At 44.7% G+C, this 13,212-nt stretch overlaps 2 protein-coding genes and 1 long non-coding RNA gene across 11 annotated transcripts in view, besides 7 other annotated features; 2 read left to right on the top strand and 1 right to left on the bottom strand.

Annotated features, from left to right (window-relative positions):
* LOC124901234 (basic proline-rich protein-like) lies at positions 4,668 to 8,263 on the top strand. Its single transcript, XM_047419614.1, has 4 exons — positions 4,668 to 4,796; positions 5,701 to 7,172; positions 7,336 to 7,755; positions 8,052 to 8,263. Exons 2-4 carry the CDS (start codon positions 6,293 to 6,295, stop codon positions 8,261 to 8,263), a joined length of 1,512 nt encoding a protein of 503 aa, XP_047275570.1. The 5' UTR covers positions 4,668 to 4,796; positions 5,701 to 6,292.
* CAHM (colon adenocarcinoma hypermethylated) lies at positions 6,152 to 7,037 on the bottom strand. Its single transcript, NR_037593.1, has one exon. It is a non-coding gene; the product is annotated as a colon adenocarcinoma hypermethylated (long non-coding RNA).
* Positions 6,444 to 7,223: a silencer, noted in NCBI's record as "silent region_17769". NCBI's record gives its function as "represses an Ori minimal core promoter by ATAC-STARR-seq in GM12878 lymphoblastoid cells {active_cell/tissue: GM12878}" and the evidence as "EXISTENCE:reporter gene assay evidence [ECO:0000049][PMID:35858748]".
* Positions 6,444 to 8,363: a biological region, named in NCBI's record as "H3K27ac hESC enhancers GRCh37_chr6:163835002-163835654 and GRCh37_chr6:163835655-163836308".
* Positions 7,057 to 7,709: an enhancer, noted in NCBI's record as "H3K27ac hESC enhancer chr6:163835002-163835654 (GRCh37/hg19 assembly coordinates)". NCBI's record gives its function as "activates a minimal SCP1, AML or CMV promoter by ChIP-STARR-seq in primed H9 embryonic stem cells {active_cell/tissue: H9 hESC(primed)}" and the evidence as "EXISTENCE:reporter gene assay evidence [ECO:0000049][PMID:30033119]".
* Positions 7,314 to 8,133: a silencer, noted in NCBI's record as "silent region_17770". NCBI's record gives its function as "represses an Ori minimal core promoter by ATAC-STARR-seq in GM12878 lymphoblastoid cells {active_cell/tissue: GM12878}" and the evidence as "EXISTENCE:reporter gene assay evidence [ECO:0000049][PMID:35858748]".
* Positions 7,710 to 8,363: an enhancer, noted in NCBI's record as "H3K27ac hESC enhancer chr6:163835655-163836308 (GRCh37/hg19 assembly coordinates)". NCBI's record gives its function as "activates a minimal SCP1, AML or CMV promoter by ChIP-STARR-seq in primed H9 embryonic stem cells {active_cell/tissue: H9 hESC(primed)}" and the evidence as "EXISTENCE:reporter gene assay evidence [ECO:0000049][PMID:30033119]".
* Positions 7,805 to 13,212, top strand: part of QKI (QKI, KH domain containing RNA binding) — a 163,875-nt gene continuing 158,467 nt past the window's right edge. For all 9 annotated transcript variants that reach the window (NM_206855.3, NM_206854.3, NM_206853.3 and 6 more), the window contains exon 1: positions 7,805 to 8,422. In NM_206855.3, the coding sequence (NP_996737.1) occupies positions 8,281 to 8,422 (142 nt within the window). In that variant the 5' untranslated portion in view covers positions 7,805 to 8,280. The remainder of the gene's footprint in view (positions 8,423 to 13,212) is intronic.
* Positions 8,384 to 8,433: a silencer, noted in NCBI's record as "silent region_17771". NCBI's record gives its function as "represses an Ori minimal core promoter by ATAC-STARR-seq in GM12878 lymphoblastoid cells {active_cell/tissue: GM12878}" and the evidence as "EXISTENCE:reporter gene assay evidence [ECO:0000049][PMID:35858748]".
* Positions 8,634 to 8,823: a silencer, noted in NCBI's record as "silent region_17772". NCBI's record gives its function as "represses an Ori minimal core promoter by ATAC-STARR-seq in GM12878 lymphoblastoid cells {active_cell/tissue: GM12878}" and the evidence as "EXISTENCE:reporter gene assay evidence [ECO:0000049][PMID:35858748]".

A 13,212-nucleotide genomic window follows, 5' to 3' on the forward strand; every position in this document is an offset into this window, starting at 1 on the left:
AACAGAAGTAATAATCAAAAAGTTGTAACAGTTGGTCCAGCACAGGCATAAATGATCAGTGTCTGCCAGCCCTGATGGGGTCAGGGTGCCAGGCATCTTGCCTTTGGTTGCTGGGTTAGGGGGGTCCCGGGGCTCCGGAAGAGGGCCTGGGTAGTATGGCTCAGAGCAGTGACTGCTCACTGAGTGGTGTGGGAATCTTTCAAAATTTAAAAACTGAAAAGGCTGTACTGGTGTGTACTGCTTGAATCTCAGTGCTACAAATAATTGCTTTTAATCTTTTTTTTTTTTTTTTTGAGACAGGATCTTGCTCTGTTGCCCAGGCTGGAGTGCAGTGGTGTGAGCTCAGCTCACTGCAACCTCCATCTCCTGGGTTCAAGCCATTCTTGTGCCTCAGCTTCCCTAGTAGCTGGGATTATAGGCGTACGCCACCACACCTGGCTAATTTTTGTATTTTTTGGTAGAGATGGGGTTTCGCCATATTGGCCAGGCTGGTCTCAAACTCCTGACCTCAAGTGACCTACCTGACTCAGCCTCCCAAAGTGCTGGGATTACAGGCATGAGCCACTGTGCCCTGCCTGCTTTTAATCTTATATCTGAATAAGTAGTGAACAATTCTGATAAAATATCATTGCTATACAAACTCTTCAATGTTAAAACCAGAGGCGCTCATTTTCTAACCTGTTATAGATTCAGAGGACTATGGATTCCCTGGCCTAGTTGCCACAAATGCTGTTTCCTGCTGAGTAAGACATCGCTTACACTCCAAAATACTTTGCAAGAATCACTGAATTACATTGCAAAATATGAACACACAGCATCAAACACTACCTGTCATTGAAGGCAAAGAAATCTTTTGGATTTTCAGATGCTATGAGCAGCTTACATGGCTGCTTCCTCTCCTTAGAGTCCAAGTATGTCTCTGTGTTTTTTCCTTTTTTTCTTTTGTTCATTCAAAGAAGTAATTATTTAAAGTAGACTACTTGTAAAGCATTTTAAGAGCAGAAAGAGGAATAAGACCTGAATTCTACCTTTAAGGAATTTTTATGCTCTACTTGTAGTAAGTTTCTTCATCAAGAGCTCTAGATGAAATTTTTTAGTGCTCCACTTTCTATTAAGTTGTAGTATGTTTAAAAAAATAAGAAAGATTTGATTTTAATTCTTTGGAAATTACAAAAATGTAACATTTTCAGCCAAATGTGTTGCCTAAGGGAAATAAAAATTCTTAGTGTGTGTGTGTGTATATATATATATATATATATATATACACACACACACACACAAAGAATTTATAGTTCTTTATATATATTATATATAATATACATAATATATAATATATATCCATATTATTTATTTATTACTTATTTCAACAAGTTGTGCAAAATTGGACACCTAAAGGTTTTTATATTAATTTCTTATTGCTATTACATGACCATCCATCTGCATACAGGGTTATCCTGGGTGCAGAAATAAAATTACAACAAGGTCAATTTGCTAATCTTAGTGAGGATATTTTATTTAGAATCACAGAATTTTAAACCTTCGAATGACTTTGGAGATCACTTAGTTCAACTCGGATTCAGGGTTACTTATGCAGTGCTACACAACTTATTAGCATAGAACGAATAAGGCTTTTTATACCTAGCACAGCAATCCTTTCTCTATACACCATCAGCTAGAATACTGGAAAAAAGAGACTCAAACGCCACAGGTATTTTAATTAAAGTACAGCTCCTGAGGTACCCAAGTTTAACTTACAGAAAGGTCAACAGTGTGCCTTCCATCACTCAGGACTCCGAAGGTCTGCCTTGAATCCTGTCCTGAATTCAGTAGCTGCCACATGAGTCACATTATGTAGTTAACCCTCTCAGCCTCTGCTTCTTCAGCGGTAAAATGAGGATAATTATTAACTCAGAGTTGCTGCATACTCAGTAACTGAAGTGCCCGAAGGTTGATCGGGACTCTATAAATGTCAGTCTTTTTTTTGGTCTTTCCTTGGTCTCACTGGGAACTCAGTTAAGAACGCATTAATATACAGAAATTACTGGAAAAGTACATTTAGGCTCTAAGTTAAATTTTAGTAAAGGATAATGGCATTTGATTAAATGTCTGGGACATGAATAGTCATTCCCCTTGTTGGTAAAATGGTCACCCATATTAACTTTTAAAACTAACTCATAGACTATAAATCCAACATATCCATTTAGTATGTTAAAAAAAATCTAATCACAGATGCATCCTAAAGGGTCCCAAATCTGAAGGAAAAAAATAAAATAAAATAACAATCAACCCAATCCAGGAGAGCACCTGTGAAATTGTCTTGCAATCATAAAACCAAGCATCAGTCTGGGAGTAGATCAAAACAAAATGCATTTGTAACTCACTCTCACCTTCCTGTGATTGACAGACAGTTATTTTTTAGGTGGTTTCTGTTTAAATATGGAATGAAGGTTGGATTATATAGCACAAGGACCTGCATCCTGGCTGAGAATGTTTTTACCTCTAAAGTTTCATTTAGGGTCAAATGAGTAGAAACCTTACACTGTCAGTTACCGTTTAACCGTTGTGCAGTAGTTTAAGCTAAATGTTAGTACTACATCTGGAATGATCATGTCAGTGGCTTAAAAAAGCAGCACAGTTACCATTAGAACAGCTGTGAAGAGCAATGCCTTTCATTTTACAAATGTTGTATTTGTACTAGTAGATATAAATAAGGTTCACTGAGAGGAATCCATGTTACTATCTAATTTGTTCATTTCTTTATATTAAAAAAAAATTCCTTTTGAGATCAGCCTGGGCAACAACCTAGGGAGACCACCTCCCCCCTGACCGCCCCCCGCCCCCGCCGCCATCTCCGCCCACTCCCCATCCCAACACACACACAAATCCCAAGGCTCTTCCCCTACAAACACTCTAGTTTGATGTTCAAGGCCAACCAAAATCTGGCATCAAATACTCTCTGTGGAAACTCCTACCCTAACACCTCGTACTTTTCCACTTCCCAAGTTCTGTCATTGCTGTCTCCCAACACTCTTTGCTCCGCCTCGAGATCAAATCCACCTCCCCGGTGTGGTCTTACAATGGCTTCCGGGCAGGCAATGTTGGTGCTCACCGGTATTTTCACAGCATTTTTGTCTTTAGCCTTTACGTGGCAGTTATTAGTTAACTTTTTAAATGTACCTGCACATGCTATTAACTCCCAGCTCAGCCTGTAAATGCCTTAGGGTTAATGATATGCATTTACATATAACAGGTACTGGAAATATTTAAGATATTCACATTTGAAATGTTTCATTTTCAATCTTTTAAATAGTACCTGATAAGCCATCTCACAATTTAAAAGTAAAAAAAATTTTAAAAAGTAAAAAAAAAAAAAAAAAGCGCCATCTCGTAATTTAAAAGGATGCTCAAATCTATTAAGACAATAAACAATTATTTTGCGAAGATACCAAGAATGCCCCAATTCCTTTTAGGAAAATCTAAAGACTAAGATTTTTAAAAAGAACACTGGGACAAAAAGCCATAAAACCCTAAATCTTATATCCAAGGAACATTATAGTTCTTTCGAGAACTCTATGGTGATAAAGAAAGGTTTGGAATACTGCAAATTTCTATTTTAAATGTTAAGAATAGCAATAAGCAAATAGAGCCAATCAAATTTAACAGAATAGAAAATATGTTTCCACGCCTGGTTAATTACTGATGTTAGAATGTGGAACCATTTTTAGTGTCAACATATTAGATGACAATTTTTCACAGTGAAAAAACCTATTATAGGGATCTTCAACTGGAGGCTCATTCTGTATATATACTCACTACATGTTGTAATTTATTTTCAATACTGTATTAAGATAACATTTTTGTAATAATGTAATTATTACAAAGTTAGTCTTTCTACATTTTTTTTTTTGAGACGGGATCTTGCTCTGTTGCCCAGGCTGGAGTGCAATGGTGTGATCACAGCTCACTGCAACCTCTGCCTCCCTGATCCTCCCACCTCAATCTCCCAAGTAGCTGGGTCTACAGGTATGTGACACCAGACTCTGTTAATTTTTGTATTTTCTAGAGAGATAGGGTCTCACTATGTTGCCTAGACTGGTTTCAAAATCCCGGGCTCAAGTGATCCACCTGTCTTGGCCTCCCAAAATGCTGGGATTACTGGCACAAACACCGCACCCGACCCTCTGCAGCTACTTACTCCTCCTAAGCATCAGCCCTCTCATCTCTGAAATATGGCTCTTCCTGCCTACCTCAAATATTGGCTGTAAGGATGAAAATAAACAATGAAGATAAGGGTTTTGCAGAGCTTCTGGTCCATAACAAGTACTTAATACTTCTTTTGGACATATATTTAATAAGTGCCTACGTGTACCATATGCTGATCTAGGTGTTGGAAATTCCTAATAGAAGAAACTCCTTTTTCTCATGGAGCTTACAATGTTGATGCCAGTGGCAAACGAGTTGACCCATTGTTACGTGGAAACAAATGGTATGAAAAGAACCTGGGGTAAGCAGATGGAAGAAGGGAGGAAGTGTTTGCGTGCACAAAGGCGCCATTTTACATAGGGTGTTAAGGGACACCTTCTAAAGATAAATAGGGGCAGGGGTCGCCGATGTATGGGGAAAAGCTTTCCGAGGAGAGCAAACACCAAGGGCAGAGTCCTGGGGAGGGTAAGCATGCTTGGAATATTTAAGGATCCAGACGGATTCCACGGGGGTGCAGCCAAGTGGGCTGTGGGAGGAGAAGGACATAAGGTCAGTGATGCACCAGGGGCACACCTGTCGTCTTGCAGGACTTGGTAAGCTCTTCGGATTTTTTCTTTCTTTCCTTTTTTTTTTTTTTTTTTTTGAGATAAGAAACCATTGAGGGACTGTCAGGAAATGAGGTGATCTACATAGATTTGAAAAGGTAACCTGCCAGGCACGTGGCTCACGCCTGTAATCCCAGCACTTTGGGAGGTTGAGGGGGGCGGATCACCTGAGGTCGGGAGTTCGAGACCAGCCTGACCAACATGGAGAAACCCCCGTCTCTACTAAAAATACAAAATTAGCTAGGCGTGGTGGCGCATGCCTGTAATCCCAGCTGCTCGGGAGGCTGGGGCAGGAGAATCACTTGAACCGGGGAGGCAGAGGTTGCAGTGAGCCGAGATCGCGCCATTGCACTCCAGCCTGGGTGACAAGAGCGAAATTCTGTTTCAAAAAAAAGAAAATTAACACACAGTAGCTATTATCAAATGCTGTAACCGTAAGTGATTTAATACATAGGAAATGAAAATTGCCTATCATTGTTCTTTAATCTGGTTTAAGTGGTTGAGCCTTATGACACTGCCATTTCTATGGGTCAAAAATGGTGGAATATTGTCATAAAATTCAACCTGATTTAAAGGATAGGGCAAGGAAAAAAAGCAAAAAAAAAAAAAAAAGCTTTAGAATAAAATATAATTGGATTATAATCCCAGACACAGGACTCACTAGCTATATTCTTGGGCAAGTTACTTAACTTCATCTTTCTTGGGTTTCCCCTTATTTGTAAAATGGGGATAACAGTCTAACCTAAGCCCAAGTTGTACTGATGATTAAACGAGATATGCATGTAGGGCATTCAGCATAGTGCCTAGGAGCTTAATAAATAAGCAGGCCATTAAGAAGGGGATTGCATCTTTTACACTAGCAGCATCAAAACCTTGATTTTGATTTTTCTAGGTACTGAAACAGCCTTCATTACTTAGAGACCATAGCTTTTTTGCAAGTTACTATTCCCTGCATTTAGAAAGTTCATCTTTAAACAGGCAATTCAGTAAGTAAATATTCTATGGCTCTAAAACAGATACGGCTGTTGGAGACTTTAAAACATCTGACAGTTACATTTTTAATGTTGTCTACCAAGGCTATTACATTTCCTCTGTCAAAGTAACTTAATTTTAAAAACGAACTCTGTGCTTGTTAAACGAAAAGGCCAGAAGGCTACTGGCTACTCAGCGTTCATTTGAAATTCTTATAGTGCCTTCAGTACAATTCAAACTTAGAGGTGATTCTCACAATTCATGTGAAGCAACATTTTACAAAAAAAATCACCTACGTTCACTGTTAAGTCAGAAGACAGAATGATTAACAAAATCTCAGCCGCGAATTACTCTCACGATGGCCAACTGGATATTAAATAACTCTGCATTATTTTAATGGAATGTTATAAAGGATTTGCAACAAAATGCAGACGTAGATTTAGGGACTGCCGACTTCTATAGATCAAGGACTTCATTGGTGCAGCTGAGGAAATTCTTCCAAACAAGTCTAAATGTTGGAAATCCACCAAACTGCAGAGAAAGACCTCTTGCCTCCGTATTCTTTCTTCATCTGTAAAAATGTTGACTTCTGCTTTTCAGACTACGCGCACAGCCTCTTTATTTCCTACTGCGGCTTCATTCCCTCACGGAACACTGACGCCATCGCGAAGGAAGCATTTCGAGCACGACTGACGCTCCCCTTATTATTTGCTAAGCCGCTGCGCTCGGGTCTGGCTACGATTTGCTTTCAGAATAACGGGAAGGTGCAACAAGATCGCTTCCCTAGAGGCGCGTCGCCCGCGTGGCCCGGACCCCCCACGCCCGCCCGCCGCCCCGTGGGTGCGCACGCGTGTCCGCGCAGGCTTCCCGCCTGGCGAGTGCAAGGCTCCTCTCCGCCGTGCTGCTTTCCAGCCTCTCAGCAAATCACGAACACCGAAAGAAGCCACGGCGGCGACGGGAGGGGCGTCGCGCGTGCTTCCCTCGGCGACAAAGCGGGAGCCGGGCGCGCCGGCCGAGGGCGCCCGGCGCAGAGTCCCGCAGAGGCGGACGCCGCGGCACGCGCCTCGAAAAGCCTCAAACTCTTATCCTCGGCTCTCCCGCCCCACCTCCGCCCCGCAGCCAAGACCCGCGCCGTGGCGGGCCCGACGGCCAAGGAAAGCCCACCAGCCCTCCGCACCGTGGGCGACGGGCCAAGACCCGGCCCTAAACGGCCAGACCCAGCCCCTAGTCGGCTGCCGCCCCCGCCCCACGCAGGCGCGCTCCGGGGCCCTCCCCTCCCCCACCGCGCGCTCGCGGGGCCCGACGGGGGCGGAGCGACCCTCGGAAGGGGCGTGGCGACCGGGCTCGACGCGCGCACGCGCTCTGGAGCCCCACGGCTACGTGTCGGGCCACGTGATGCCCACCCCGAAAGTCCCCCGTGAAGCAACAGGACGTTAAAAAAAAATTTCTCTTCTGCGGGGTGGATAAGAGGTTCTGAAAAAACTATAGTAACGGGAGGCGAGGCGGAGGCAGCGCTGGCGCGTCCCGCTGGAATTCCTCTCGCCTGCCGCGCCAGCCCCGACCGCGCCCGCAGCCCCACCCGCCCCGTGCCGTGGAAAGCCCCGCGCCCCCCCCGCGGCCGTCGGCCCCGCAGCCCACACCCACCCGCCCCGGGCGCCCCGCACGGCGGCGACCCAGTCCTTGCGCCCAGGCCCGCCGAGCGCCGCAGTCCGTCACACTCCCGTTGCCCCCGTCGCCCGCCCCGCCGGGGAGGCAGGGAGGAGGGGGCGCGGCGCCGGCGGCTGCCCCGGTCGCGGGGCGGCGGGCAGCAGGCAGCGGGAGCGCGCCGGCCGGGACCCGCTAACGGCCGCCCTGCGCGGCCCCGCCCGCCGCCCGCCCCCGGCCCTCCCCGCGCCGCTGCCCCTCCCCCCGCCGCCGCCGCTGCTGCCGCCGCCGCTGGCAGCGCCGCCTGAACTGAGGCGAACTCCGCCGCCAAGTGAGTGAGGAGGAGGAGGAGGAGAAGGAGGAGGAGGAAGAGGAGGAGCGCAGTCGGAGCGCGGCGGCAGCGGCAGAGGCGCCGCGGCGGGGACCAGCCCAGAGAGACCCCCCGAGCCCGCGGCACAGGCGGCGGCGGCGCTGAGCGGGCTCGACCAGCCGAGCGAGCGGCGGCCCCGGCTCCTCCTCGTCCGGCGCCAGCAGCCCGCGCCCCGCGCCCGCACTCGGCCAGCCGAGACCCGCCTCCCGCCCGCCCGCCGGCCTCGTGAGGGACGCGCCGAGCCGGGCGGCCGAGAGCGGCGGCGGCTGGGAGCGCGTCGGGCCCGGGCGGAAAGTGCCTGCGGGGGGCGGGCGAGCGCGCGGTGCCGGCCGCCCCGGGGCTCGGCGCGGGAGCCAGAGCGGGAGCCGGCGCGGAGCGGGACGCCGGGTCCCGAGCGGCCCGCGGCCGGGGCTCGCCCCCGCCCCTCCCTCCTCTCCGGCGGCGGCGGCGGCGGCGGCGGGCGGAGTGAGCTGCGGAGCCTGGAATATGGTCGGGGAAATGGAAACGAAGGAGAAGCCGAAGCCCACCCCAGATTACCTGATGCAGCTGATGAACGACAAGAAGCTCATGAGCAGCCTGCCCAACTTCTGCGGGATCTTCAACCACCTCGAGCGGCTGCTGGACGAAGGTGAGCGTCTCCAGGGCCCCGGCCCCGGCCCGACCCCCGCCGGGGCGGCCCCTTTCCCCGCTTGGGATGGTGGGGAGGGCGGGAAGGTCACGGCCGGGCGGGACCGAGCGCCGGGGGGACTGGGAGGCCAGGAGGGCGCACAAAGGAGGTGCCGGGCCGGGCTTGCGGCGGGCGGGCGGGCCGGGGTGGACCCGCCGGTGCCGGACGCCCCCTGCCCGGCCGGGACCCCGCGCCGCTGGCGTCCAAGTTGGCGCGTTGCGGAGGGCTGCGGGGTGAGCCCTGCGGCCCCTCTAGCTTCGGCGGTCACATTTCCGAGAGGTCGGCGGGGGCTGCGCGGACTCGGTGGTCCTCGCCGAGCCCTCCCGAGAGCAGGCCCACGCCGCGCCGCCGGCCTGGAGGACGCGTGTGCCCGGCGCGGGCCCCGCTCCTCCGCTCGGCCTCCCGAGCCTGCTCTGCGCGGACCCCCACCGCCCCGCGTTCGGGAGCTCTCCCCTCCCGTGAGGACTAAAGCGGGGTTTCGTGGTTGGGGAGTTGGTGCAGCTGTTCAATACTAAGTGGAAGTCAGTGTGGGGCTCGTTAGTTTAAAGAAATTCCGTAGGAGACCGAAATTATGCTGGCGTAGCCGACAAGGAGGACTAAGTGACGGCGAAAAGCACTTTTTTCCCTTTTGTTTGGGGAAGCGAGAACTGTTAGGGAGTTGAACTTCACTTTTCGGGGGTGGGGGGGGGGGGGGTGGAGTGCGAAATAACGCGATGACAGATCGGAGCGCAGCCTGAGTTAGAAGAACTTGGGCGGAGGGTTTGCTCCCGGGGACGCAGCCGCCTGAGTTTGTAGGACAGGGTTTCGAGACGTTTGGAAAGGGCGAAATAAAATTGAGCCAAAGTTTCCAAAAAGCTGTATGGAGCGCTGTGGGGAGTGAAGAATGACAAGAAGATTAATGTTGACCAACTTTGGAATTTCCTTAAGAAGTTCTCATAGCAGTACCTGAAGTATTAATTTCTAGTAGCTGTGGGTTTCTGTGGACGCCTAGAGAAAAAAAAGACCACAAAAAAAGTCTGTTTCGAAAATCGACTGGCCAGGAGTTTGTTTGTTTTTTTTTCCTGCTTAGAGGCACCACCGGAGGACTGTGTAAAGGAAACTGAAAACTACAGGTTGAAGAGATGAACAATGGAGTTTAGATTTTTCGCAAGAATTTCGAGATTTTAAAAATAGAGTCGGGGAACAGGAGTTTGAAGCTTGGGGAGTTGGAATGTCACTAGAGAACAAAAGGCCGGAAATGTTTCCATGATAAAAAATGGTTAAAGAAAAATCCCAGGAGTTCTGTTGTCTTGAAAGTCATAGAAACAACTTAAAAGTAGAAAATGGTTAGGTGTTACGGCTTTCTCGTCGTTTTGCTTCCGTATGTTAAACATACAGCACTCACCAACGTTGAAATGGGCATTTTCCGCTGTTGGAACAGCAAATCTGTTAATTTCAAGTTGCTCCAGAGAAAACCTGAGCTGTCCCTTTAAGGGGTTCTGCTTTTCCTATTTGTGTTGGCATTTGAAAGATTGTGGAGGCAGAAAACTTTCTGGAATGTCAAAAAAAAAAAAAAAATGCTGGAACTCTTAAATTGAGTATTTCCAAATGTGAGCGCTAAGGGGCGCCAGTTATTTTTTAACCATGGAAATGGTTGGAACAAAATGTGTAACATACTCAATCTGACTGACCTATATTAAATTTAGTTGAAACTTAAGTTATAGATTATTTGATTTGTCATAATGTGTTTATATAGTGTTTTCGAACATTGAAAATACTTTCCTTAAAATTATTGGCACAACTTTATGACGTTTCAAAATAACACTCTTACTGTCTTCTCCTTGGCATATTTTGGTTAAGTTAAAGTTTTAGTAGTATTAGTAACAATTTCTGGTGAAAGTTTGTTTTCTTGAGTGCAGTTGTTTAGAAGGAATCCTTTATCGACGATAAAATGAAAATAGGCCTTGGCAATATTTAGGGTTAATTAAAATTAAATTGCATTCCTGAAATGTCGAATTCAAAGACTATAGGAGATTCCAAAAAAAAGTTTGAAAATACTTTCACCTTATGTATACTATTTAAAAAGCTGCATACTTTTGCGTTCTTTAGTTTTAAAAGGCTTCTTGTGCTTTTATGTTGATCTAAAATCTCTAAATTTAGAGCTGATTCCTTGTTATCAAGTTTCCAACCTTAGGCTTTAATAATTTTTAATCTTTCAAATCCAGAAATTTCAATTATGTCATTGTCTCTGACAAAGGCTTATTTCTCTCTGGTTGGAAATAGTACTCGTTTGCGTTTTAAATGTAAGAGACCACTATGATATCTCCTAGATAATGTTTGTTTCCCCTTCCCCTTTTAATGTGGTTTACTCCATCTCTTGTCTTGCTATCTTTAGTTTTAGCCTTGTCAATTCCCCAGTGTAAAGATTGCTTCTGTGTGGCATATAGTATGTTTAAAATGGGCAATATAATGACGAGGAAGTTTGATTGTTTTTTATCAGACCAGTACAAACATGCAGGAAAAAGGGCTATTCCTTAGTGTGGAATAAGCGGCTTCCTGTAATTGTTAGCCTTGTTATAAACTTAATTTGACTTAAGAAAAATATTGGTTTCTGAAGTCCATCACATTTTTTTTTCTGGATGATTTAATTGTGAAATTTGGCATCTTGTGCTTTACCCCTTTGTGGTTTGTCATTGTCCAAAACAAATTGATCATGACTTTTGTTTCTGGTTAGGCATTACTTTTTTTTTTTTGCCTATAATGCTTGGCTGAAAAATTACTTTTAAATTTAGATAAAATTTAGTAAAAATTTTACTTTAGTGATTGGTTTGATGAAGTTAACATCGTGCTTAGAGTAGATGTATTTTCTGATAATTAGGAATTTTAAATGAGATTTTAAATTTTTTATTTTAAAATATTTTTCAAAGAATAAGCTTTTTAAAAATATGCTTGTCAGCCTAAGAATTTCCATTTGGCTAGTTACAAATTTGAGGATTAAGTGTGCTGGTTTTCCCAGTTGATGAAGACTTGGATGTTTTAGAATGAGTATTTTAATTCCTTGCCAAGTTAACCTTTAGTCTGTATCTTGACTGTGGACAGTCCTTTTGTTTTACTGCTTGTTTTTGTTTTGTTTTGTTTTTTGCTGTTGCTGGTGGTGGGGGTGTGTGTGCCAGCTCTTCCACTGAAGTATCTTCAACACGGTTGTTTTTTAAAGTTGTGAATACATTTTAGGTTGGGCCCATCATAAAATATAAAGGACATAAACTTGAGTTTGAAACCTTTTATTGAAGATAGAGATGATTATAGGATTACACATAAAACCTAGGTCTTAAACTGCTCTACCTTTAGAGAGACGTTTTCAACTGAACCCTTAGAGCAGTTAATATATGGTTTTTAAAAAAACAGACTTTTCTTGTCATGAGAATGAAACAACAGTAGTTGAATGCAAATTGTTATAATAAAGTTTTGTAATTTAGAATCGAGAAGGTGAAGAGTACGGTCTATTAGACTTAACAATCCTGTATTAGGGGAAAATGGAGAACTAGTATTTTAAAAGCTGATTTTGAGTTTTCAATTTTTTAGGTGGAGGTGGGCTTAAAGCTGCTGATAGGGAAATAAAAAATGTGTAATGAGGAAGAACAGTCAATCTTTTTATCGTGGATATCAGAAAAATTAGTGTGTGGCTCAGAAAAAGAGAGCAGATGGATTAGAATGCCGTATTACTGATTTGAAAATATATTTTCATTTTCTGATGGTCTTTTTGTGTTTACAGTAAACTTTCTGTCTGACCTCAGTTTAGTTTATACCCTGCCTGCTCCCTCTCCTTTAAATATATGAGTAAAAATATTTCGTTAAAACTTGCTTAAATAGTTGCTATTTTTTCATGTTAATGTTTATTTTCACTTCTTCTGCCTCTGTTATTGGATGTATCATAAGGTTTTCTTACCATAATTTTTTTTTTTCCTGAGAATTCATTTACAAAAGCCTTGACTTAAGAATTATATGGTGGTTGGTATTGAGAGGACTCTTGCTATACAGATTTCTTACAAAAAGGTTTTCTTTTTGTCTGAAGAAGCAATTACTGTTGTCAGTAATCATCATCTGTAACAAACAGATTTTAAGGTGAAATAATCTGTTCTTTAGAAACTAAGATATTGCTTTTGTACACAGTCCTTGAATTAGTTGTAGCAAGAAGGAAGCTACTATTTATAATCACTTCTTTCCATTATCTTTTCTCACCCAGGAGGTGTCAGCAGCTATATATTGGCAGTCACGGAAAAGATCAGTTGTATCATTATGGGGCATTTATTAAACATTCATTCTGTACTTTTAAAGCTAAATTCCCCTGTAGGTGGAACGTGATTCCTTTGGAAACTGTATCCAGTTTACATGTTTTGTAGTAAAAGTTGTATCCGACTGTAACACAGTTGAGTTGATAGAAATAGGTCTCTTTGCTAGTCACATTTACGAGTGTATTTTGGGATGAACACTTTTTCTTAAATGACTGAGAATGTCAAGTTAAATCAAGTTAATTTGACTTCTTAAATGCTTTATGCACATTATATTTCTGTTAATGCTTCACTAGTCACTGTCGCTGTCCTGGAGCTGATTGAAATTGGTCAGTTTCCCATAAGAGCAAATGGTTTTTGGTTTCCTTTTTCAGGGAAATAGATTTCTGTGATGAAAGAAGTGAAGTATAATAAAACCCTCATGCTTTGACCTGGCCTTCACCGAAGCATGATTCAGATTCTTTTTTTGAGGCCAATATACTT

Source organism: Homo sapiens, chromosome 6 (genome assembly GCF_000001405.40).
Source record: "Homo sapiens chromosome 6, GRCh38.p14 Primary Assembly".
Taxonomy (NCBI): domain Eukaryota; kingdom Metazoa; phylum Chordata; class Mammalia; order Primates; family Hominidae; genus Homo; species Homo sapiens.